The sequence below is a fragment of the Homo sapiens genome, chromosome 5, assembly GCF_000001405.40.
Source record: "Homo sapiens chromosome 5, GRCh38.p14 Primary Assembly".
NCBI lineage: Eukaryota > Metazoa > Chordata > Mammalia > Primates > Hominidae > Homo > Homo sapiens.
In genome coordinates this window covers 97863417-97891409 of record NC_000005.10, presented here as the reverse complement: position 1 = coordinate 97891409, position 27993 = coordinate 97863417, and the positions used below count along the sequence as shown (strand labels likewise).

Genomic DNA, 27993 nt, shown 5'->3' with positions numbered 1-27993 from the left:
GACTTCAAACTATACTACAAGGACATAGTAACCAAAACAGCATGGTACTGGTACCAAAACAAATATATAGACAAATGGAACAGAATAGAGGCCTCAGAAATAACACCACACATCTACAACCATCTATCTTTGGCAAACCTGACAAAAACAAGCAATGGAGAAAGGATTCCCTATTTAATAAATGGTGTTGGGAAAACTGGCTAGCCATATGCAGAAAGCTGAAACTGGACCTCTTCCTTACACCTTATACAAAAATTAACTCAATATGGATTAAAGACTTAAACAAAAGACCTAAAACAATAAAAACCCTAGAAGAAAATCTAGGCAATACCATTCAGGATATAGGCATGGAAAAAGACCTAATGACTAAAACACCAAAAGCAATGGCAACAAAAGCCAAAATTAACAAATGGGATCTATTTAATCTAACGAGCTTCTGCACAGCAAAATAAACTATCTTCAGAGTGAACAGAGTGTACTAAACCTACAGAATGGGAGAAAATTTTTGCAATCTATCCATCTGACAAAGGGCTAATATCCAGAATCTACAAAGAACTTAAATAAATTTACAAGAAAAAAAATGCCATCAAAAAGTATGCGAAGGATATGAACAGACACTTCTCAAAAGAAGACATTTATGCAGCCAACAAACATATAAAAAAAGTCTCATCATCACTGGTCATTAGAGAAATGCAAATCAAAACCACAATGAGATACCATCTCACACCAGTTAGAATGGCTATCATTAAAAAGTCAGGAAACAACAGATGGCTGGACAGGGAGAAACAGGAATGCTTTTACCCTGTTGGTGGGAATGTAAATTAGTTGAACCTTTGTAGAAGACAGTGTGGTGATTCCTCAAGGATCTAGAACCAGAAATACCATTTAACCCAGCAATCCCATTACTGGATATATACCCAAATGATTATAAATCATTCTACTGTAAGGACACATGCACACATATGCTTATTGCGGCACTGTTCACAATAGCAAAGACTTGGAACCATCCCAAATGCCCATCAATGATAGATTGGATAAAGAAAAGGTGGCACATATACACCATGGAATACTATGCAGCCATAAAAAAGGATGAGTTCATGTCCTTTGCAGTGACATGGATGAAGCTGGAAACCATCATTCTCAGCAAACTAACACAAGAACAGAAAACCAAACACTGCATGTTCTCACTCATAAGTGGGAGTTAAACAATGAGAACACATGGACACAGGGAGGGGAACATCACAAACCAGAGCCTGTCTGGGGGTGGGGGGCTAGGGGATGCATAGCATTAGGAGAAATACCTAATGTAGATGACGGGTTGATGGGTAAAGCAAACCACCATGGCACATGTATACCTATGTAACAAACCTGGATGTTCTGCACATGTATCCCAGAACTTAAAATTTAAAAAAATTTTTTTTTTTTTTAATTGAGGGTTTTTGTTGTTTTTTGTTTGTTTGTTATGGTCGTGTTTGTTTTTTGAGAAACAGTCTTGCTCTGTTACCCAGGCTGAAGTGCAGTGGTGCAATCTCGGCTTACTTCAATCTCTGTCTCCTAGGTTCAAGCAATTCTCCTGCCTAAGCACACACTAGTAGCTGGGTTTACAGGCGCCTGCAACCACACCTGGATAATTTTTGTAATTTTAGTAGAGACAGGGTTTCACCATGTTGGCCAGGTTGGTCTTGAACTCCTGACCTAGGCGATCCACCCGCCTCAGCCTCCCAAAGTGCTGGGATTACAGGAGTAAGCCACCGCACCTGGCGAAAATGATTCCTCGTATTTTCCACAGAGCCCAGCCTAGTGATTGGCACATAGCAGATCTTAATAAAAGCCTGTATAATGAGGTAATGAAGCAAATTCTGAATGACAATTTTGCTATTCAAGCAATTGTACACAAATAGCTCTTAAATGAATTGCTATTATAAAAACTGACATAGAAAGTAAAACCAGTATTTGATTTTCATAAAAATACATTTTCTGGCTGATATTTTCTTTGAGTTGAGTTCTTATTTTGGTGTTGAGATTACTCTAGATGAATAAATATTGAGTTAGATGAAATATAACATCAGAATAGTTGTATTAAGAGCATAGCTTTTATCGGTTTTATAATTCACCTTCCCAGCACCCTGATGAAGGGCTAAATAGCCAATTCTGTTAGTCCTGGCAGTCATAGCCAAAGCATAACAGTATCTGTGCCTGACAAGGAGCACATTATCAAACTAGATAACAAATAAAACAAAAGGAATTGGCTCCTGGGCTTTCAACAAGTCTATAGTTAATCTTGTTAAGATTTTAATAATTTCCCCATGCCAAACTGGCCTGGTTAATTACCTTTGATTTTGCTGTCAGTTCCCTTTCTAACAAATGTCAGTCTCATTTGCCATTTGATTATTGTTGCTTTGATGGAAAATATTTAAGTTCCCTTGGGAAGGTTATTACGTTGGCAGGAAAGATAAAAGCACTGAAAAAATAATGATTAGTACTAGAAATCTGTTAATATTGAGAATATTGGGTCAAAATGAATCAAAGTAACAGCAACTAAAAATTTTAGTAAAATATAATCAGATTTTTATATAAGCCTTGGAAAGCAGTGGCTGTTTCTGGGAGTAAATACACAACCAGGCAACACGAGGAAACACAATGATACATGCTTCGGTTGAAGCAAGGTTTCAAACCCTTCAAAATAGAGGTGATGTCAGAGGCCTGTCTGCCTAAAACTGCCCTTAGTTCAACACTCCTCCTGGGATCTACTAAATGCTTCCTCAATACTACAGAGTGAATAATTTATTCCCTGGGCTTCCCCTCACAGTCAACATGAAAGTGGAAAGGTCTTTGAAAGTTCACTGATTAGTGAATAATGACACTACTTACAAGTGCACCAGTGAATAAAATACATGTGAGGCACCAGCAAGTGATGGACTAACTCAGGACTTTCCAATAGAAATACAATGCAAGCCACATACAGAATTTTAAATTTTCTAGTAGACACATTAAAAATTAGAAACAGGCGACATTAATTTTAAGAAAATATTTAATCCAACATATGCAAAAGATTATTTCAACATGTAATCAATTTAAAAACTATTGATTGCTGATTCAGTCTCCTTATTCTTTACTAATCAGCTTAGATTTTTCTATTTCATTATAATTCAGTCTTGGTACATTATAGTTTCTAGGAATGTATCCATTTATTTTAGCTTATCTAATTTGTGAGACACAATTGTCGATATTCCTTTCATATGATCCTTTGTATATCTGCAGTACCAATTTTAAGGTCTCCTTTTTTATTTATAATTTTATTCATTTGAGTTCTTTCTTGTTTTCACTTGATTGGCCTAGGTAAAGGGTTGTCAATTTTGCTTATCTTTGGAATAAAACCAACTCCATTTCATTTACATTTTCTATTGTTTTTCTATTCTATTATTTATTTCTGCTACAGTCTTCAGTATGTCTTTCCTTCTGCTAATCAGGGGCTTGGTTTATTCTTTTTCTAGTTCCTGAAGGTGAAATATTAAGATTTCTCTTTTTTTTTTTTTTTTTTTTTACTTATTTTAAGTTCAAATATTTTAAGTTCGGGGAACGTGTGCAGGTTTGTTATATAAACACTTGTCTTGGGTGTTTGTGATGCACAGATTCTTTTGTCACACAGGTATTCAGCATTTGTAGCTATAAATTTCTCTCTCAGGACTGCTTTTCCTACATCCTATAAGGTTTTATGTGTTGTGCTTTTATTTTTTAAGATTTTTTTATGTTTTTCTTTTGATTTCTCCTTTAACACATTGGTTGTTCAAGATTCTATTATTTTCACATTTTTGTGAATTTTCTAATTTTCCTTATATTGATTTCTAATTTCATACCACTGTTGTTGGAAACAATACTTGATATGATTTCAAAGTTTTTTAATTTGTTGAAATGTATTTTGTAGCTTAATACATGATTTATAATGTAGAATGTTCTGTGCATGCTTGAGAAGGTATATTTTGTTGTTGTCAAGTATAATGTTCTGTATATATCTGTTAGGTCCATTTGGTTTATAGTGTTGTCCAAATCCATGGTTTACCTTTTCATGTTTTCACTCTTTATTATATACCTATTGTTGAGAGAGGGTATTAAAGTCCCTTACTATTATTGTTTTGCTGTTTATTTATCCTTCCAGTTCTGATAGTATTTGCTTTATGTATTTACGTGCTCTGATGCTGGGTATATAACTATTTACAATTGTTATATTTGCTAGGTAAATTTTCCACTTTTCATCATGTAAGGATCCTTTTGTCTCTTGTGACTGTTTCTCACCTAAAGTGTATCTTATCTGATATAAATATAGCAATTTATGATCTCTTTTGGTTACTATTTGCATGGAATATCTTTTTCCATTCTATACTTTTAGCTTACATGTGTTCTTAGGTCTAAAAAAATCTCTTGTTGCAGCTTTTTTATTTTGCTTTTTAATCCATTCAAACACACTATGTCTTTTGATTGGATAATTTAATCCATTAACATTTAAAGTAAACATTGAGAGGTAAGGACTTACTATTGCCATTTTTAGAATTGTTTGCTTTGGCAGGGATAGACTTTTGCCAGTTAGTCCAGCCTAAAGTTCTGGATAAGTTAGCTAGTAGTATCTGTAGGTAGGCAAAGCTTGCTATCAGTCTCTAGCTGGGCAGAGTCACTGTGCTATGAAATCAGGCAGAGCTAAAGTCTGAACTCCACAGTTGGGTGGTCTGCTAGCTGAGCTTCGGGTTTAGGCTGTGTTCTGTGGCCAGCTGGGGTCACTACTGGCCTTCCAGTTTAGGAGCGGCTATGGGTTGTACCCTGCAGTTGGAGGGGGCTATAGTCTGGGCTCCTGAATCAAGCAGAACAACAGGCTATCCTCTGTATTTGAGTGGAATCACTGGCTGAGCTTTGTGCCTGGGCTGTGCTCTGTAATTAGGCAGGGCCTTAGTTTAGGCTCCACAGGGAGGATACTGGGCTTTGCCACAAGGCAGGGCCATAAGCTATGCTCCATGGCCAGGAAGGTTGCTTAGCAGGTGTATTAGTCCATTTTCATACTGCTATAAAGAACTGCCTGAGACTGGGTAATTTATAAAGGAAAGAGGTTTAATTGACTCACAGTTCAGGATGGCTGGGGAGTCCTCAGGAAACTTAACAATCATGGTAGAAGGCGAAGGAGAAGCAAGTCACCTTTTTCACAGGGCAGCAGGGAGGCGAAGCGGAAAGTGAAGGGGGAAGAGCCCCTTTTAAAACCATGGGATCTCGTGAGAATTCACTCACTATTACAAGAACAGCATGGGAGAAACTAGCCCCATAATTCAATTACCTCCACCTGGTCTCTCCCTTGACACGTGGAGATTATGGGGATTACAATTCAAGATGAGATTTTGGTGGGGACACAGCCAAACCATATCACCAGGCTTTCTTATTAGGTGCATCTGCAGGCTATGCTCCTCAATTGAACAGGGCTTCTGGCTTGGCTTCCGGCCAATCCAGAACCACACTCTGGGCTCTGAAAATGGGCAGAATTTCTTCCTGGGTTCCTTGGTCAGGCAGGACTACAGTCTATATTCTGCAGTTGTATAGGGTTGCTGAATGGGCTACCTGCTTAAGAAAAGCCAATAGCAATGCTCCAAGGTTGGGCTGGACCATTGACTAGGGACCCCAGCTGGGGAGTACTGAACTACTGGATCAACTCTGATGGTAGGTAGAGCCACTGGTTGCATTCTGGCTAGATCACACTGCCTGTAGGGATACAATGCCTCTGCCAAGATCCATGTGCTGACTGCTGTAAACCCACCCCCTTTCTTTGTTCCTATGTGACCCCAAGTAGTCTAGTCCCCCCAGTGCTCTCTGTGAAGAAGGATAGAAGTGGCCCTTCCAGAAGGCACGTCAATATGCTTGGGAAGCTGTATATTGTTCTTGGGTTCTCTTTTCCCCACTGCACAAACTCTAGGCCTAAGGAAATCTCTCAGTGTAGTGCTGTGCCAGCCTGGGGCAGGGAAAACACAGTGAAAGGGAAAGTGTTCCTCTTACTTTTCTAATGTGGCTTTATGGGGCTTTTTGCAGTTTTAATGATGCCTCACCCTCAGGTTCTGGGATTTTCACAAAGGCATCCTTGTCAGTGACTAGTTGCTGGTTGATATTTCTATGAGGAGAACTAGAGGTAGGACCTTCTATCCCACCATCTTGCTGATGTCACTCTCTAATGGTTACCTCCTAAAAAGTGGTTATGCTCATGAAGCATTTGATAAGATAATAATCCAAGGAGATTTTCTAGAATATATTTATCATATGCTCCTATTTTTTAAAATGAGTCTGTATGAGCCCTTAAATTACACCCAATTTTTAAATATGGGAAATTGAGAACAATTAGCATAGAATTATTGGCAAAACTATACCATGTGTGTGTAAAGTAAGACACGGTGTGCTAACCAACTCTTGCTCACAGGCAAATGGAAGTAATTATAAGCCACTTAATCAAGACCTAAATCCAACTTTAAGCTGGGGGAAATAGAGACTCAGAACCAGGGATAGAGCACTAAATATTATTACTAGAGTTGTCTTATGAGCAAGGATAATGCCTTAAATATAATATGCATGAGTTTTAAAGGGCCATCTGGTGAGATTAATTAATCTAGAGCTTCCATCTGACAGTAATTAAAAATTATAAGCTAAGGAGATATAAGTAGAAATTCAACTATTATAAAGAGGAACAAAAGAAAGGGGGAAAATGGCAGTTAATTGGAGAGAAGATAAATTTTAAAAGTCTCCTCCTTCCTGAAGAATTTAAAATTTCAGAGCTTGAGTAGGTTTTTTAACACAGAGACCAAAAACTGGTTCCAAGCAATCAAGGAAGGCAGGAACCAACGTTGAAGAAGGTAGTTTCTTTTTTTCTTTCTTTCTTTCTTTCTTTCTTTCTTTTTCTTTCTTTCTTTCTTTTCTTTTTTTCTTTCTTTCTCTTTCTTTCTTTTCTTTCTTATTTCTCTCTTTCTTTTTCTTCTTTCTTTGTCTCGCTCCTTCCTTCCTTCCTTCCTCTTTCTTTCTCTCTCTCTCTCTTTTTTTTTTTTTTTTTGAGACAGAGTTTTGCTCTTGTTGCCCAGGCTGGAGTGCAATGACGTGATCTTGGCTCACTGCAACCTCCATCTCCTGGGTTCAAGTGATTCTCCTGCCTCAGCCTCCCAAGTAGCTGGGATTACAGGCATGTGCCACCACAACCGGCTCATTTCGTATTGCTAGCACAGACGGAGTTTTGCCGTGTTGGTCAGGTTGGTCTTGATCTCCTGACCTCAGGTGATTCACCCACCCTGGCCTCCCAAAGTTCTGGGATTACAGGCATGAGCCACCACGCCCAGCCAGTGAAGCTGTTTTCTCAGGCTATGGATTGGACTGGTTCAATAATTTATTGTACTGTGAATAAGGACACCCCGTGCATTTGGGAAATTAGAAATATAATGTCTAAGATGAATAAAATAGTTCCAGTTAGTAAAATGACACCTCTACTGAGAAAAATAGAGAAAGAGAGCAGGAGAAGATACAAGAAGAGAGAGAGATCCCATTACTGAAATTTTGCATTTCATTTAGTATTTTTAGTTTCTCAACAATCTTAAAAGTTATATACTTTGCTTGTTTTAATGAGAAGGAAACAGAAGCTTAGAAAAGGTTAGTTAATTTCTCAAATGTAGATAGCAGATCTGCCTAATGCTAGACTCTGTGCAAACTTGTGAATGTATTATATAGTAAAACCACAAAGTCTTGCTCTAGCAGAGTGAAAAGAAATCTTTATCATTTATAGACTGGCATGTGGCAGAACTTCTTAAGAATTTGAGAAATGAAATAAATAAATATCAAAGCTTCTTACATTTATTAATGCTGAAGGGTAAGCACCTAAAATAAATGATTGTTTGCTTAACAGAACAACTGCATTAGTTTTGGGTGGTGTAAAATCAGATCCTGAGCTTAGAGTGGGTGAAGTGAAGAAGTGCACAACTCTACATAAGAAAGAAATGGGGGCCAGGAGTGGTGGCTCACGCCTGTAATCCCAGCACTTTGGGATGCCTAGGTGGGTGGATCACCTGAGGTCAGGAGTTCAAGACCAGCGTGGCCAACATGGTGAAACCCCATCTCTACTAAAAATATAAACATTAGCCAGGCGTTGTGGCACACACTTGTAATCCTAGCTGCTCAGGAAGCTAAGGCAGGAGAATCACTTGAACCCGGGGAGGTGGAGATTGCAGTGAGCCAAGATAGCAGCATTGAACTCCAGCCTGGGCGACAAGAGTGAAACTCCATCTCAAAAAATAAATTAAAAAAAAAAAAAAGAAATGGGATTTTAGCACTTGGAGGAGGGATTTCTGGAGAGAAAGATATTTACAAACTCAAGAAAATGCCTAAGTAAGAGTTAGGGCTTAAGAGTAGAAATTTCCAGAAGTTTTGGATTGCATTTTAGGGTGGTAATATTTAATATTCCACTGTATATTATTGCTTGTAATCCTCTTCTGTTACTCTCAAACCGAGCTTTAGGAAAAGTTGATTTAAAAAAATAACTTAGTATTAGTAAAACTTTGTGAGAATAAAAGTATCTGAAGAGCATTCTGACTGATTTGAAGAAACACACAAAACAATTAGCATCTTAAGGGGCAGAAGTAATAACAGGTAGGAAGCAAGTCAGATTAGACTGACCCAGTAGAGATGAAACTCTAGGAAACACTAAAATATCAGATGAGACTTTCTACAGCATGAGGCCGGGAGATACAAGGCAGCATGTTAGAACAATGAAGCAAAGAGCAACCTCAGAAGGCTGAAGGATACAGAGATATATGAGCTACACAAGAAAAGGGACTGCCATCCTAAGGTAATTCTCTAAGTGTTGGAAATGAATTTTTGAAAGATAGGATCAATTTTACCTAGTTCTGGGCAATAACCCAGTTACTGAGGGGGCTGATGCTGTGTCTGTTTCTGATGGTGGCTCCTCTGTCAGTCTGCGGAACTGAGATTATGAGCCTTTATGGCAAACATCACCATCTCAAACATTTAAATTTTTCCAGTCACAAATTCATAGTATTCTAAAAATGTTTCACAATGTATCATTTCAAAAGCAGATGCAAAAGTGATAACATAGATGTAAATTTGTATCACTCCTTTTGTCAGAAAAAAAACAAATTCTTAAAAATACTGTCTATGGATATTTCTGAGTAATGCTCATGGAAGCTCTGAGGTAAATGAATTTTGGTTTCGAAACCAAAAAGTCTTCTGTAATATGCTTTTTCAAAATCTGTGACTGTTAACTACATAGGAGAAATTACATTAAAAATGAAAAGGTTATTTAACAAGCTAGTGAGTGTCTTTTTTTTTTTCTGATGAAGTCTGTCTTTTGGGAACACTGCAGGGCAAACAAACTTCTGATTGATTAATGACTGATCCAATAAAATTAATACACTCCTGTAAGTTACATGAAACACAGGTCCAAGGAACAGATGGTTGAATATATCTGTAGAGCCACACTGACAAACTGCAGATAAAGACCTAATGAAACTATTAAAATAAATTTATATATGTCAAACATCTGTTCTTTTATAGCTAGTACAATAAGTAACAGAACAGAAATGGAATCAATTTTGTCCCCAAAATAATTGTTGCATTGTTTAAATTTTGACATTGGCCAGATGTTTAAAGGTGGTCTCTTGATTAACATATATAAATATACAGGATTATTCCTTTTGCAAAAGCTTAAATAAAAGAATGAGAACAAAAGGTGGTAGCTAACTTTTCTCATCTATATATTTCTCAAATACTCAGTGTTATATTTTATATGTATTACCCACAAAGCAGTAACAGTTTTGTCTACTTACCACATTAAAAACATTTCATCTTTTGCAGCACTGACTTTACCACTCTTTATGCTGTTGACTTGCAGGCATCAGTGTCTATTGGTGGATATCAATTTTAGTCCATATGGTCAAAGATAGGTGATAGATTGTTTTAAAATCCTAAATGGATTCAAGAGAGATTTGTTGTCAAAGGAAAGATAAAAATTTAGTGTAATTGTATGTTTCCACAGTGCTGTCACTTTTCACAATCTCTTTAAAAACTCCTATTAATTTATGTGAATTTTAAAGTATAATAAAAGAATGTCTCACTAAATGTGTTGATGAGTACAATTGAAATATATTACGGAATTTTATCCAAATGTATTATAATTTTCTATAATAATGTGAATTTGGTTAGGAAGAAGCAATTAGAGTATATTCAGAATATTTACAACATAGTTCATTATTTGTTTTTTTACATTAGGTGATTAGTTATGCCTCGTGACACCTATTATATCTATTCTATCAAATTTTGAGGGGCAGATATTAAGCTGCCTAGCTACAGCCTTCAGTTGATATATTTTCTAGGATAGTAAACCTAATTAGCATGATGCTAAGAGATTATCAAAAGCTTTTCTATTTTACTAATGACTAAAATTTAGCTCTTTTCCACGCTGATAATAAATTCAAAATGGCAAAATAATGTATACATTGTCCTATTAATGAGATACAATCACAAGCAACTGATTTCCAAAAGTGTCAAATTCTGTTTAATATTATTCCAATATATCTACAATTTACTAGAGTTAATTTTATAATATAATATTTTGGAATACAATTTTGATAGAGGTCTAAATAATTTAATAATTAAAAAAATTTAGAATGTATAGGCAATTTTTTAAAAAGTGGTGTTTCTACTTTTCATACTGTTCTACAGAAAGAATAACTTTCTAAAACAGCCTAAGAGTATAGGCAACAATATTCAGTGTGACAAATATGAAAGATATATTTTGATGACAAATCAACATCTCTCATTGTACTTGTTAGCCATTTTTCAATACTGCACATGTCATGCAAATACCATGAGACCACACTATATAACACACACATCAATAAATAAAGGAAATGTGGAGATTGATTTGATTTTTATTTTTAGTTTACTCTGCTCAAAAATATTTTCCTCTGAAATATGAGATAAAAATAAATAAATAAATACATCCAAAACTTTCTCTTTAAACTGTTAGTATAAATCTATAATTTTTAGAAAGGGAGAAAAATTAGTAAGTTAATTTCTATGTAAAATAAATATTTAAATACCCTAAAAATTAAAACAGAGTAACTTTAAATTGGTATATTCTGTTATTTTTCAAGATACCCTATTTTTTTCTGGATTTTTAAAGAAAGAATAAATTGTGAATAACTTTAGAGTTATAGCATATTATTGTACACCTTTTTAATGCAAATGAAACATCTTTGTGTAGTGTAACTAATATTAAAAGGCAATCATTTAATTAAATTCTATATTCCTTTAAATTTCTAAATAAATATGGATTTTCTATATAATGAGAAACAAAATTTCAAAATATATTTTTCTTAGATTTTTCAATCTTATTAAAATACTTACTGTTACAAATTCACAAATAATACCTTAAAATAGCTTGCAATTTTAAAATACTCATTCATTACCCTGTTAATGATCTGGAGCGCACTGACTAGATATAAAGATTATATATTTAAATACTGCTATTCCTAAATAGGTTAAAGGCACATTTTTGATGATTTAACCAAATAAAAAAAGGAAACTAAGCAATTCAGAATTATAAATAACATTTTAGTGCTCTTTGCTCTGTATCTTTCTGTTTGTCTGATTAAAGCTTTGTATAGCTAACCATCTGAATAAACAGAATATGTATGACTAATGTCAATATGTCAGTCATGAATAAAACAAAGCACCAATAAATATATTCACTGAACTATTACGAAGCTCATATAAGATAATGTACATGAAAGCACTTCGGAAACTGTGAAGCAGTACATAAACGTAAGGTGTTATTATCATTATTATGTACTTCTGACTGTACACGAGAAGAATAGCAGTCAAATCTATTGTAAAACTGCATTCTTAGAAGACAATGAACTTAATATTCTAAAGCTGATTCACAGGTGGACTTTTGTATTTGAAACACTAGACAAAATGAGCAATCTGAAAAAAAAAACATTCTGATAAAACTCACAGACATCCCAGAAACTCTCTCTTATTGAAAAGAACACGTGTCTTTATTTTGTTACAGTATAATGGGAGTTTTTACATGTCTTTTTCAATGCTTTTATAGAGTTAAAAAAGAGTCAAAGATAGGGAATCAGAAATTGAAATCTGGCCCCAATTTTACTCTAGTTTACTACATGATTACAAGAAGACTTAATCTCTCAGACTTCAGTTTTTACATTATAAATGTGTCTAAAATGGCTTTCTCAGAAGGCTTGATAAAATAAAACATTTGAATACCATCCACTAATCTGATGTGTAATATGTTTAAGTATAAATATTTAAAATAATCTTTAAAAATTTCCCCCTCCTTACCAGCCTGTTATGAACTAATGTTACCTTAGCGTGTATTCACCAAATATTTTGGGCACATTGTCTCCCACTTGCTCACACATGGCATCCCACCCTACAAACATTTCCCCAAACTATTTCTGGAAATCTTCCCCGGCATCTTGTTTGGCAGCAATGGAAATGCATAGATCTGACCACTCATGAGTTTTCAATAACCAGACACTTTTCTATGTTCCTCTGGTCAGGACACTCTCCCATACCTCACAGCATATTTTTCCGTGCTCCATTTTCTTAAACCATTGAATCAACCACTTCCCATCTAACTTTTAGTGGATGATATTTTGTCTGACTTTGCAAAGAAAATAGAGACAGAAGAAGGGTGAGTAAAGTTAACAAGATTGCATGCTACACTTTAAAATAGCTATGAGAGGATTTTGTTCTTACCACAAAGAAATGAGTGTTTGCAATTTTAAAAATGCTAAATACCTGGATTTGATCATCCCACAATGTATATATGTATCAAAACATCTCACTTTACTCCAAAATATTTACAATTATTATGTCTTTATTTAAAAAAATAAAAAGGAAACTAATACTACTTTCTTTTTCTTGTACTGCCCTTTTCTCCTTCTCCTGGCTTAGAATGAAGTATTTGTCACTCTTATGTGAGTGTAATCTTTCTACCTGCACTTTAGAGCAGTGTTCCTCAAATTATCTTTAAACAACCAAAAATTTTAAAATTCTCAATCAATACAAGCTGACATTTTTATTAGATTCAACTAATACAAAATGACTGTGTAAAATTAGTATAAAAGTTTCTGAATGCTTATTTTCAATTTCTGTACCTCACCTCACAAATCAGTAACAGTTGATGAATCAAGACCAGTTCTTGGACCTGACTTGAGTAGCATTTATTAGTGTGCAGCACCTCTCATCTTTTTAGGGCCATTGAAGTATGAATTATCCCCTCTTCTGCATCCTTCTCCTCGTGTGTTGGCTTCCTCATTCACATTTAAGCATGCTTATGTTTCTTCTCCCTTCAAGCTACCATTCTATAGCTCAGCTGTACTTTTCATCTAACAGTTTTAAAGAGTAATCTGCAGTAACCATAGGGTTGCCCTCTTCTCTACCTCACTCCTAAGCTTACTGCTGTCTGGCTTCCATCTCAATTGTGCCACTGGAACTACTCTTGCCAAACAAATAATCAGGGATTTTTTTTTTCCCCTGAGACATTTGGCAATGGCTGAAGACATTTTGTCACAACCGAGGCATACTACTGGCATCTAGTGGGTAGAGGCCAAGGAAGCTGCTAAACATCCCACAATGGACAGAACAGTTCCTCAAAATAAAGAATTACCGAGTCCAAAATGTGCTGAGGTTGAGACACTGTTTTAAAAGCAAGTGCCACATTTCAATCCTAATATATCTTGACATCTTCCAGGATTCGACACTGTCAAATAATCTGTAATTCCAGATTCAGGGGCAGCATCCAATCGGCTGAGTTCAAGTCATTCACCTAGGCTCTAGCTGACGAGCAACTGAGAGAAAGAATATCTGCTCCCCTTTGCTCCTATGTTTTCTTTCCATCTAGAGATTCCCCTCTAATTTGTATTCAGATGATAGATAAAAGAAATGATGAAGGTTGACTATAGTGTCCCAAACCAACTATGCATTTCCTCAAACCTTCCATGCTTAACTCACTGACATGGCCCAAAACCAGAGTTGCCACACCAAACCTGCCTCTTTTTCTTTTATTTTTTTTTCTCTTCTTCCTCCCTACCATCTAATTACCAAGTCATGCTCACTCCACTTGCTATTATCTCAAATCTACTCATTCCTCTTCATCTCAATCTCCAATATCATTGTCAATAAGAAGGCTGAAGAAACAAGCTTCAAAAATGGGCAGAAACCAAGGGCCTCTGAGTCTGGAATGAGTGACCCACAGAAGCAGGAGATGGAATAGAAGTCATTCCAGCACTGACAGTGGCAGAAGTGGCTCCCAGCATCTTGTGGCTGTGGTGCTGGGTTATCCAGTCTCAGTGAGACTCCTTGTGTTACATGAGTATTTATGAATCATCATTTTGCTCCTATACTCTTATTAAAGCATCCTGTATCCTGATTTCTTGCTTTTAACCTCCCCACAAAACATTCTCAAAACTGCATTCAGAGTTGTCTTTCTAAAATACAAATCTAACCAATTCATCTCTTTTCATTAAAACCATTCAACGGCTTCTAATTCTCCTGTGGATAAAGGCAACCTCCTTATTAAGCTTTGTCCAGCTTTGTGATCCAGCACCTGACTCCTTCTCTGTTCTCAACTTTGATTCTTTAGATTCGACATATGTGTGAGATCATACAGTATTTGCTTTCTGTGCCTGCTTATTTAACGTAGCATAATGCCTTCTAGGTTCATCCATGTTAATGCAAATGATAGGAATTCCTTCTTTTTAAAGATTTAATAGTTTTCCATTTTTATTCATTCATCTGTTGACAGACACTTAGATGGGTTCCATATCTTGGCTACTGTGAATAATGCTGCAGTGAATGTGGAAGTGCACATATCTTGAGATAGTGATGTTATTTGCTTTGGATACGTACCCAGGAGTGGGATTGCTGGATCATGTAGTGGCTCTTTTTTTAATTTTTTGAAGAACCTTAATACTACTTTCCCTAATGGCTGTACCAATTAATAGTCTCACAGTGTATAAGGGTTCCCTTTTCTCCACATCCTTGCCAACACTACTTGCTCCTTCTATGTTATCAAAGAATACACAGTCCTCTCTTTATACTTTTATGTTATATTGTATGTACACATTTTATTTATCTGTATTCCTTCTCCCTTTATGGAGAGATAAACCCTTTCAGAGCATACATTTAATATGTTGTATTCATTGCTTTATCTCTTGTCCCTAGTTTATCACTGGGCACATGGGAGGTGCTGAATAACTAGTTTATGCGACAATAATGCCTGGATTCTGTTTCCTCCCAGTGCTGCTCCTTCTTTCCTGCCAAGGTCTTTCTTCCCTTGTACCTTGTCATGGTCTCCTTGCTTACCATGGATTCCCCAAGAATAACACTACCTTTCCCAGGGCATACTTTGCCCATTTTTACCCAAAGCAAAGCATGAAGGTTAGGAGTCACAAAACTTTGCTACGTTCCCTCAATTCTTTGCTGAACCTGAGTCACACTGGCTCTTATGGAAATGGTGAAAATGCCTCTCTTCCTGGTACAGTCAAACAAGTCCCAGAATCCAGGCTTGGAGTACATGCTGTTCCTTCTATTTCTGTCTGTCTTCCACTCCCACCTTTTATTTTGCCTCAAACAATATCTTCAGAAAACATTCTTCTCACATATCTATCCCATGCCCTCCATATAAACTATCTATATAAATGAACACCAGCTTCCAGCTTACACTGAACCAGGACTATCTCTAAGAAAGAATATATACAATTATAGCTTGCTCATATTCTTTGATTGTTATAAAATGTCCTCAATGGAAGAATCAGAAATACACACTCAGTTGAGTAAAAGTTAAAATGTAGGTATAGCACATAGAAGCAATATTATTTTTCACATCTTTTGCACACACTAAACTTCCATTTCCATTTATAAGAATCACTTACATTGGAAGAATGGACCCTCAGCCGACTATAGGGGTCCTTAACCCAAATGTAAAAATGTAATAGATATGTTGGCTCTTGGAAATAACCAAAGAAAGAACATTTTAATAAAAATAAATAACAAAGTTTCTAATAGTGTATACAATAAATAAAGCATTTTTATGATAAAGTATCACTTCCATGTCACTCACTCGAGAATGTTCACTAATTCTGTATTCTTAAAGCAGAAGTAAAAAGCCAAGATGGGAGCCAGAATTTATGATTGTTATCTACCATGTAACCTCAATATTTAATTTATAATATGAAGAACTCTAATTTTTCTATCATAAGAGGACATTTATAGAATTTTAGTCCTAAATTTTCAGGAAAAAGAAATGATAGCTTTCAATATTTAATTGTTGTTATTTACAAATATTGCTCCCACTCACAAGTACTAGAAGGGAAATTATTTCCATAAGAGATGTAAATTATCTGTAAATATCTTTATCCATAATGGCACATCAAATCATGAGAGACTAGTAAATCATTTGTCGAGGCACACACAATAATCATATTGAAGAAAAACTCTTCAACGTTCATACTTCATGCAAATTTATTCCCACACTCTAGCTAGATCTTCTATCTGTTCATCTGCTTGCATGTGTTGCAGGATTGCTGTTCACCATCTACTTTCATGTCTGTGTATAATTTTCACATTGTTCTGGAATTTACTGAACTATTAAATTTATAGTTCTGACTCATCTGTACAACTTGGGAAAATTTTTGAGACAGAAGCCAATTCTCCGTGGATATGTTCCTTCTTCACTTTATGTACTACTCTTAGTTTCTCTTAATCTTTTTCCTGCTGAACTGTATCTTCCTGATTATCATGCTATCTCAAAAGCAAAGGAGTATGTTTCAGATGTTTTTATGTAAAGAGAGAGACTAGCATTCTTATCCATTAAAAATCATTTTTGTGTTTATAAACCAAAGTTGTGTTTTCCTCCCTCTCTCCCTTTCTTCCTTCCTTCCTTTCTCCTTCTCACTCTCCCTTCTTCCCTTCTTTTTTCTTCTCTCTGTGTGTGTGTGTGTGTGTGTGTGTATGCATCTGTCTTTCTTGTCTCTCTCTGTTTGTTTATTTTCAGTGTGGGAATTTGTTTTCTGATTGCATTGCAAATATGCACTTGCTCACTATATTAATTCTTTTGTATGCCTGTGATTAAATCCAACTCTACTGCTCAGTTGCGATTTGCTGGCCTTCTCATTCATACATATATATGTATATACATGTATATATATACATATATACGTATATATATGTATACATGTATACATATACATATACATACGTATACATGTATATATATGTATATACGTATATATGTATATATATACATGTATACGTATATACATGTATATATACACATATATGTATATACATGTATATATGTATATACATGTATATATGTATATATATACATATATATACACATACACACACACTCAATATGTTATATATATACATATACATATGTTATGTTATATATACACATATACATATGTCATATGTTATATATACACATATACATATGTCATATGTTATATATACACATATACATATGTCATATGTTATATATACATATACATATGTCATATGTTATATATACATATACATATGTCATATGTTATATATACATATACATATGTCATATGTTATATATACATATACATATGTCATATGTTATATATACATATACATATGTCATATGTTATATATACATATACATATGTCATATGTTATATATACATATACATATGTCATATGTTATATATACATATACATATGTCATATGTTATATATACATATACATATGTCATATGTTATATATACATATACATATGTCATATGTTATATATACATATACATATGTCATATGTTATATATACATATACATATTTATATGTTATATATACATATACATATTTATATGTTATATATACATATACATATGTTATATGTTATATATACATATACATATTTATATGTTATATATACATATACATATGTTATATGTTATATATACATATACATATGTTATATGTTATATATTACATATACATATGTATATGTTATATATAACATATAACATATGTTATATGTTATATATACATACACTCATTCATTCATATATATATATAAAATCATGCATGGTCCTTTGAACTAGGTATCAAAAACTACAGATATAAGATTATACGTGTATATATATAATATATATTTTATATATCCATGACTTATGCTGTCCTTTTCATTCATATATATTATATATACATATTCATATATTATATATGCATAAATATATGCATATATATGAATTAATATATAATAAATATATAAAATAAATATATAATATGAATAAATAAATATAAATAAATATATAATTATATAATATGAATAAATAATATGAATAAATATATAAATATATACATATATAATATACATATATAAATATATGCATATATAATCTACATATATTGATGTACATATATGTACATATATAAAATCATGTATGGTCTTTTGCACTAGACGTTAAAAACTACAGACATCTGAATGCATTCTGCCAGTTAGCAGATGTCGATATGACATCTACCAGCTATAGAATAAATGATATTTTATAAACCAGGTTATTAGTTGAGAGTTCAAACTTTCTTTCTTTGTTTTTCAATTTTCTCCCTATCTAATCTTTACAAATATGTTCTTTTATTTGTTTTGAAGTCTCAACTTCAATTTAACAATTCAGGGTACAAACTATAAGAAAGTTTTATATGGCTGAAGTGTTTTTCATGTTACATAATTAGCATCTCCATCCTTTAATCGATTCTTACAAATGATTGCTATGGTGTACCTATGTGTTTGGAAGAATTCAAGTTGCTTTGTATGATCCCCCAAGCACTCCAGTACTTGCATTTTTACCAGCATGGGTCTTCTTTTGTCATGCTTGCCTTATATTGAGAATTTGGCATGGCTTCTTATTTGTTTTGACATTGGTAAACTTTTACATGTATTTATTTTAAGCTATAGTTTCCTCGTAGGCCCAAGACAAAAACCCTAAGCACTGTACTGGATTTCTCTTTCTCTTTCACTCCACTCTTTACAATCCCTCAGAACAAACTGTCTACTCAACCTTCAAAGTACCCTCCATGTCTTAAAGTTACCTTTTACCTCCTCTAACTGCTTCCCAGTCCAATTCACTATCATACCTCATTTGAATCACTACAGCAATTCAGTACAGGTTTCTCTGTTTTCATTCTTGTTCTCCTGTGTCTGTTCTCAACCCAGCAACCAGACAGATCTTGATAAACCTTCATTCTTGTGTTAAAACCTATGAAGGGCTTCTAACAACACCTATAATAAAACAGTAAGACTTTATGAGGAGCAGAAGGCCCTATGCAATAGGGCTCTTAGCCACCGCTATACGTTCAGCTTCCAGAATTTCCCTCTCACATGCTGCTCTGACTACACTAGCCATTTTGCTTTTCCACAAACATGCCAAGTTCCTGCCTGCCTCAGAGCCTTTCCCATGTCTCCTCTGTCCGAAATGGTCCATCACCAGGTCCACATATGGCTCCTCTTTGTATCATTCAGGCCACTATGATCATATGTAAGTTCTATGTCCTACCCCACATCATTCTTCCATCCCCTTATCTTGCCTTATTTCTCTTGTAGTCTTTAAAATTTCCTGAAAATATATTGTTTGCTTATTTTTGCATTATGTATTGTCTGTTTTCTTCTTTAGAATGCAAGTTTCATTAGGGAAATGACTTTTTCTGTCCCTCTCTGTGTCTCAAGCACCCAACAGTAACTGATATATGGTATATAATGAATGGATATGAAGTAAGTGTCATGTGAAATAGATGTTCTTCTTATTATTTTACAGCTATAGAATCCAAGGTTCAGAAAGGTAAAGCAACTTGTCTAGTGTTAGTTTGCTAGTAAGTGACACAGGCCAGGTTAGGATCTGAGCACTCTGCAGTGTGGTTTGTTACTCAGAATGATAAATATATCCCCTTCCAGCCACTTAACCATTCTGCAGGCTCTGGTCATTATGTGCAGTTTATTCCCATCTGTAATATTAAAAAATAAAGAACTTAATCCTAACCCCTATGGCAGCCCATTCACTGGACTCTGTGCATGATAAACACAGCCTTCTTTCTTGGTCTTAATATTGTACTGAACATTTTTCATGTCCTTGTCATCAAAGAATTACAGACTGTGTTCTAGATGTGATTAACTCATTAATCTTCACAAAACCTAAGCAAGGTTAGTAAAATTATTCTTATTTTACACCCAAAGAATGGTGACCCACAAAAATTATTAGGTGTGCTCAGGGTTATATGGTAAGTTTAGGCCAAGAACTCACAGAGCTATTTCCACATGTTTATTAGAGAAGCTTTTAGTCTATGAGATGGCATAACATTTAAACTAATAGCAGCAATTTTATTTACAAAAACACACTATGAATTGTTTTTAACAATCAAACATAAGATTTAGTCATACCCTCCCTTAGGTTAGTATTTAAATCTCTTAATCTGTTTCTTCATCTGCTAAGAGTGAACAGTAGTAATACTGATCAGAGAATACTTTAGAGTGTTCATGACATAGTACACTTTCAGGACCTGGCACTCAGTCAGCTTCCAATAATAAATGGCACTTACTATTATATTTATATTATTATTAGAAGAAAGGAGCTGTGATTATTTCATATAAACAGAACAAAAATTAACATTTTACTATTTGTGAATAATGTTTTGAAAAGAAACCACACTGGGAAACTGTGTGCAGAAGTGTTCACCTTCCTCGTGAGCAAGCCTCTTTCAATCACTTTATAAATAAGCATCTATTTGCTTCCACTTGTACGCTTTGTATAGGACTTGTATCTTTTAATGCAGCCAGCAGGACTTACCACTGGTAACGATATTCACCATTAACTTCAAGTAACCATGGTAATGTCAAGGTATGAAACCCATTTTTATTGATATTATTTTTAAAAAAATTTTAAGTGATTATTTTCATCTATTTGGAACTCCTGAGAGTTTGCACTTTGGGTATCAAAGTTGGTCTTGAGAATAGTTTGGTTGCTGAACAGAAACTAGCTTAAAGCAGATTTGGGGTAAGGATCTAAGAACATCTCAAAAGTCTCAATTGCAGTAGGCCATGTGAGATCTCACTGGAACTGATGCACTGTTAGGCAGCTACTCTCTCTCACATCTCATGGAATCTCATGTCTGCTCATGTGTTCATGACTATGCATATGTTTGCGTTTGCAGATTCCATTTGCCTCTGTGAACCCAGCTTCCTCAGCAAAAGATTCATTTTTTTTTCAACTTTTATTTTAGGTTCAGTGGGTACATGGGCATGTTTGTTACCTGGGCATATTGCATAATGCTGAAGTTTGGGGTACAAATGATCCCATAACCCAGATACTGAGCATAGTACCCAATAGTTAGCTTACCAACTCTTGCTTCCCTCTCTTACTTTCCCTTCCAGTGGTCCTCCGTTTCTATTTTTACCATCTTTATGTCCATGAATATCCAGTGTTAAGCTCCCACTTATAAGTGAGAACAAGTGGTATTTGGTTTTCTGTTCCTGTGTTAATTCACTAGAATAATGGCCTCCAGCTGCATCCATGTTGCTGCAAAGGACACGATTTTGTTCTTTTTCATGGCTGCATAATATTCTATGATGTTTATTCACAATAGAAAAGATATAGAATCAACCTAGGTGCCCATCAACAGTGGATTGAATAAAGCACTTATTTTTTGCTCCCCCATTACTTTTCAAGTGACTCTGTGTTACCAGGTCATCTAATCTGGCCTGACCTCACTATGATCTCTCAGTCTCAGTACGTAACCCCACTGAACTGATTCAGTACCTTGAGGTTACTTTCAAATTTCTTGGAGGCTGCCATGGACTTTTGTGTCCCCCTAGAAATCCATATACTGAAGCCCTAATGCCCAGTGTGATGGTATTAGGAGGCGGGGACTTTGGGAGTTAATTAGACTTAGATGACATCATGAGGGTGGCACCCCATACTGAGATTAGTGCCCTTATAAGGAGATTAAGGGACTAGAGCTATTTCTTTCCATGTAAGGATACAGCAAGAACCAGAAGGAGGGCTTTCACCAAGGAACCAACTATACTGGCAACCTTATCTTGGGCTTTTAGCCTCCAAAACCATAAGAAATGAATGCTTGTTGTTTAAGCCACTCAGTCTATGCTATTCCATTACAGCAGCTCAAACTGAAGCAGATATATAATCTGATTGAGCCAGAAATGCTCAGCTTCTCTCTGGTAGTGAATTATCCACATCAATAATGAGGTATCATCTCTAAAATGGTGTAGCAGGGAGGAAATGACAAGCATCTCTACTAATGATGTATAAGATAACAGCTTCACAAATGAAATTGACTTGGTGGTTTGTCTATTTTTTACCTATATTTTTACAGGACCATTGTTTACTTCTTTCATAAATATCTGGTTTCCCCAGTATCTGCAATTTGAAAAAAGATTATCTGATGAATTGATATCAATCCTGCAACTATACACTGGCAAATTTTATGTGTCACATTCTGCATGGTCCTATGCAGAAACAGGGATTTTAAAAATACTGCTAATTATCTAGGTTGTGCAGTAGAAACTGGATGAAATGTAAATAAGTGATCTATAAGTCAGATATTTTTATGCAAATGGGTCATTGATTTTGCTTAATCATTGAAAAAGCCTTGGATTGCTCAAATGACTGGTGAAAAATAAAGTATCTCAAGATAAAATTATTTTGAATTGAGGATAGGCCCTGATTCCAATGACTGGTGTCTTTATAACAGAAAGGAATAGGAAGTTTGAGACACTGAGTCACACAGTGACTTTATATGGAAAATACCATATAAAGACTGAGGCAGAAATTGGAGTTATCAGCCACAAACCAAGGAACACCACCAGACGCAAAGAAAGATTCCCTTTTAGAGTCTTTGAAGAAAGTGTGGCCCTGACGACATCTTGAATTTGGACTTCTGGCCTCCAAAACATTTACTCATATAACACCCAAGACACCTCTCTCACAGAACTGTGAAAGAATACATTTCTTGTTAAGTCACCAATTTTGTGATAATTTGCTGTGGCCATTAGAATTATCCCCCACTGTGGTCAGAAAATAATCAGCAAGATAAATACACCTAAAGTTATATAATGTACAATTTTAATTACACATACATGTATATGTGTAAAAGTTATATAAAGCTATGCACATGCAATACATGATGATCTATTTAATAAATAAAAGTAATAACTGATCCCCAAATGTTTGGGCTACTGGCATTATGTATATCAGTGTTTCACAAACCCAACGGTACAGTTACTTGTGGAGCTTTTTAACAATACAAGTTCTTTGGGCTCTAACCCAGAGCTATTAAATAAGATTTTCTAAGGATTGAGTTTAGGCATAGATATTTTAAATCTCCACAAGTAAGAAATAAAAAACCATGTCAAACCTACTATGACAATGTTCTAAAAATGCTGAGCAGCATTTATATATACCTTATAAAATGCATATTATTTTCCAGAAACAAAAGATTAATGGAAGTAGCTCATAACATTAAGTTTTCAAAGAAAACATTCAGGAAATGGGCACTCTTTTAAAGACTTGGTTTATATTTTTAAAAAATGCTTTCACTGGTATGTTTCTGACGCAAGGTTAACAAAAACTTCTAACTATTACTTGTTAAATAACTGACTTGCAATTACAAATTACAGGTCAGGCTGTACTCTCCAAAGAAAAACGTCATATTTTGTTTAATACTTGCTAGATTCAATATCATCCAGAGTGCCTACTTCTATTGCTGCCCAATTAGAAGTGTCATCCCCCAAGTAAAGTTTCTTATCTTTTCAAATATCTGTAGCCAAGTAGAAGGCAGACAAGTAAAAAGAAAAAAAAACACCTCAATTTTAAAGACGGAAGAGAGATATGTAAAATTCTAAACGCTGTATGGTTAAAAGTAACTTTTCCAGATCATTTTTAAAAATCTCCTGAAAGACAGGAGAATTGCTTGAGCCCAGAAAGAGGCAGTTTGCAGTGAGCCAAGATCGCACCATTGCACTCCAGCCTGGGCAACAAATGCAAGACTCTGTCTCAAAAAAAAAAAAGAAAAAAAAGAAAAATCATTTATTTTTGTTGAATAGGACCACTAATTATAAGAATACAAAGAAAGAAAAAAAAAACAGAAAAAGGCAAAGAATAATCGTGGACAGACAACTGAAGTCTGTTAACCTGGAGCACATAGCCAAATAACTGTATATTTGATAGGGAGGATTTGGATATGAATTCTAAGATAATTCTACCAAAATTCATGATGTTTTCATATTTTAATTAAGGAAGTGAAACTTCAACTCAAATATGTGGACATTGGAGTAGAATTACTAACATTCTTCAGGAATTTAATATGACTCGACTTATTTTTTTCCTCTAATATATCCATATTTGTTCATGTAACACCTAAGACAATATGGATGAAAATGAAGGGTAACCTAGATTCTCAGTCTATAAAGTATACAGATTGATAATCAGCAAGATTAAATTGAGTGGTCTGAGCTGGATACTACTTAACTATACCCAAATAATCTTTGCATCATGACTACTATGTATAAAATAACAGAAAAACTATTATCAAACATTTTTATTTGTTAATAATTGTCTTAGTTCAATTTATGTTAACTTTTATTTTCCTTTTGGTTTTCTGTGTCTTCTACAGCTTTCCATTTTACCAGGCTCACCCTAACTTGTTTTACATTTAAGATCAGATAACATTTTTCTTTAAGTATATTTTTCAAATTGAATGAAAATTCATCAGAGGGATAAATAAAATTAAACAATAGGACAAAATCAAATGCACTTTCCCCACCTCTCCTTCATCTTAAAGATATGTTTGTGAGGGGACTCTGATGCAATCAATTTCTCGTTGAATCCAGTGATCTCTGGAACTATTAAAAGATAGATAAAAGATATCTAAAAGATATCTAAAAGATAAACAAAAATAATAAATTACATAAAATAAAAAAATTTAGACACTAGTAGGTATCTAAAAGGCAGAAAACTAGAGACGAAAGGTGATGGCACTGATAAACGAAGGTGAAGTTGTTAACACTTACTGAAGTCAAGGACTTCATTTTGGAGAAGTTAATAATTTTAAAATATATTTCCAAGGCTCTATTTGGACCTAGCGTCTATTCTGTCTGTTAATATCACTGACACCATCACTATCACCCTTTTGGTGATTGTATAAAGATATTCTGTTTTATGTTTAAGTAACGTTAATTCCATACCTGGATAATTGTAAGCACTATTTAATTCAATCGTATTTCAGGAGAAAAAAAAAAACATTGATTTAAAAAAAAAAATGCCTCCAGCTCACTGCCCTTAACTAATCAGAAAGGTTAGATTAGCTAGTTACCAATAATTGAAGTACAAAATACACAGCTTTACAATTTATGTAAGAGATATTGATGAGATGTTTTAAATTAATTTTCCTTTTCACCTCTGAAGCACCTATCATCCATCTCCTCCATCACATAACAACCTTAAACAACAAAAATATGACCCAAGGAAGAATAGGGTGTGAAAACTCCTGACCTTGGCTCTCCATAAATTCAGCAGAGAAAATAGACCTTGGAAAATGCACTTGCAGGTAAATGTTAGATGTCATCAATACTAAATAATAGAATAAATATTTACTTATCTAATGAAAAAGTGTGTTTCATGGTTGAAATATTTTATTTTATTTTATTTATTTTATTTTATTTTATTTTTATTTTTTTGAGACTGAGTCTCGCTCTGTCGCCCAGGCTGGAGTGCTGTGGCGCCATCTTGGTTCACTGCAAGCTCCGCCTCCCGGGTTCACGCCATTCTCCTGCCTCATCCTCTCTAGTAGCTGGGACTACAGGTGCCCACCACCACGCCTGGCTACTTTTTTTGTATTTTCAGTAGAGACGGGGTTTCACCGTGTTAACCAGGATGGTCTCGATCTCCTGACCTTATGATCTGCCTGTCTCGGCCTCCCAAAGTGCTGGGATTACAGGCGTGAGCCACCGCGCCAGCCCAAAAAGATTTAATTTTATATATAATTTTACTTCAGGGTTTTTCAAAGGAATGCACCATATAGCAAATGTCAACTCTGGGAAATTTATGCATGGAAAATAAATTTTGTGAATGATCTTGGAAAATCTTTTACTTTTTATATAACAAACATGTCAGTCCAAAATAAAAATATGAAAATTCAAATATTACATTTAAATAAATTACATACTTAATTTTTCTTTTCTTTTTTTTTTTTTTTTGAGACGGAGTCTCGCTCTGTCACCCAGGCTGGAGTGCAGTGGCACGATCTCGGCTCACTGCTGCAAGCTCCGCCTCCCGTGTTCACCCCATTCTCCTACCTCAGCCTCGCGAGGAGCTGGGACTACAGGCGCCCGCCACCACGCCCGCCTAATTTTGTTTTTGTATTTTTAGTAGAGACGGGGTTTCACCGTGTTAGCCAGGATGGTCTCGATCTTCTGACCTCATGATCCGCCCGCCTCGGCCTCCCAAAGTGCTGGGATTACAGCCGTGAGCCACCGCGCCTGGCCCCACATACTTAATTTTTCTAATTTTTCTCCCAATCCTGTGCATTTGTATTCATTCTCATACATAGTTGTAACATCATTCTTTGTAAGAGTGTTTGTAATTGATTACATAGTCTTTACAATTCAACTAAGTTGGCATAACATTATTTATATTACCACATCTCACTGTTTGGGCATTTACTCTTATGATAACTTTTTGGACAAGGTTGGCCTTACCAATAATTTTATATTCCAGGGAGAAATAATAGTAATTTTAATGTATTCCTGTGAAAATAATAAAATCATGATTAGTAGAGAACAATGCATTGACATAATGGGATTCCTGAGCGTGTCTAACTATAGACACTGTTTTGTGCTATACTCTTTAAAAAGTTCTGAATTATCTTCTGTCTTAAATTACACACATATTGTTCTAACAGCAGAAATTGTCAACACGACTAGAATTAAACAAGCCCAATCTTTTATATAAACCAGACTGTATTTCAAACACTGAAAGGCATTTATGCCTACAGAGTATCTGCAAAATCACATCAGGATTTAAGTCTTCAGTTACAATATTATAAAAGGTCACAGTATTGATCCTTTTATTTTATGACGTTATTTTTCTCTGTCTGTATTTCTTTCATTCTCTCATTCAATAAGCATGTGCTGAGTTTCTAATGTACATCAGGCACTGAGCTAAACCCACTGTCTATGTGTGGATCATTCACTGTCTTCCATATCCTTCCTTCTATATAATGGTTAAGTATGTGTGTTTCTGTTTCTCTGCTTCCAACTGATCTCAGAATCTTCCATCCATTTTACATGCTTTTTTATCCACCCATTTCCTATTTTCCTTCCTCCCTTTTTATTCATCTGACATTCTTTTTTATCTAGACATTCCTTAATTCAAAGATGTGTTTGGTCTTTGTATTTACTAAATAGTTTTGTAGTTTCCATTCTTAATTTTCAAGAATGATGTTGGAATATTTCACACAGTTCATTTTTTAAGGTAAATTGAACATATACATTTGTTTAATGCAATTAATCATATAATAGCGATCTAAAATAACTATTCTTTTATATAAGATAAATAATACCTAATAACAAGTAAAAAATTACGGAATTTTTAATTAATTAGTAATGATAATCTTTAATGTCAATTTTATTATAAACTAAAAGTCTGTACAATATTGGACTACATAATTATACCATCTTATTTTTTGTTTAAATAATATATTTTAAAAGATAGGCTTTACCAAAATATGTGTATATTATTTTGTATTCAAATGGCATTTCAATGTTTCTAATTGAGATTGCAAAATTTCTTTAAAGTAGCCTATTTCCTATCCTGTTTAGCGCAGAGGTATCCCCGTCCTCTTTTTTCCA

General features: G+C 34.6%; 1 long non-coding RNA gene across 1 annotated transcript in view; it reads right to left on the bottom strand.

The window, feature by feature from the left end:
- LINC02234 (long intergenic non-protein coding RNA 2234) overlaps nucleotides 1-27993 on the bottom strand; it is an 82718-nt gene that overhangs the window by 32066 nt on the left and 22659 nt on the right. The window contains exon 2 of the long non-coding RNA NR_146299.1: nucleotides 9843-9980. This is a non-coding gene — a long non-coding RNA (long intergenic non-protein coding RNA 2234). The remainder of the gene's footprint in view (nucleotides 1-9842; nucleotides 9981-27993) is intronic.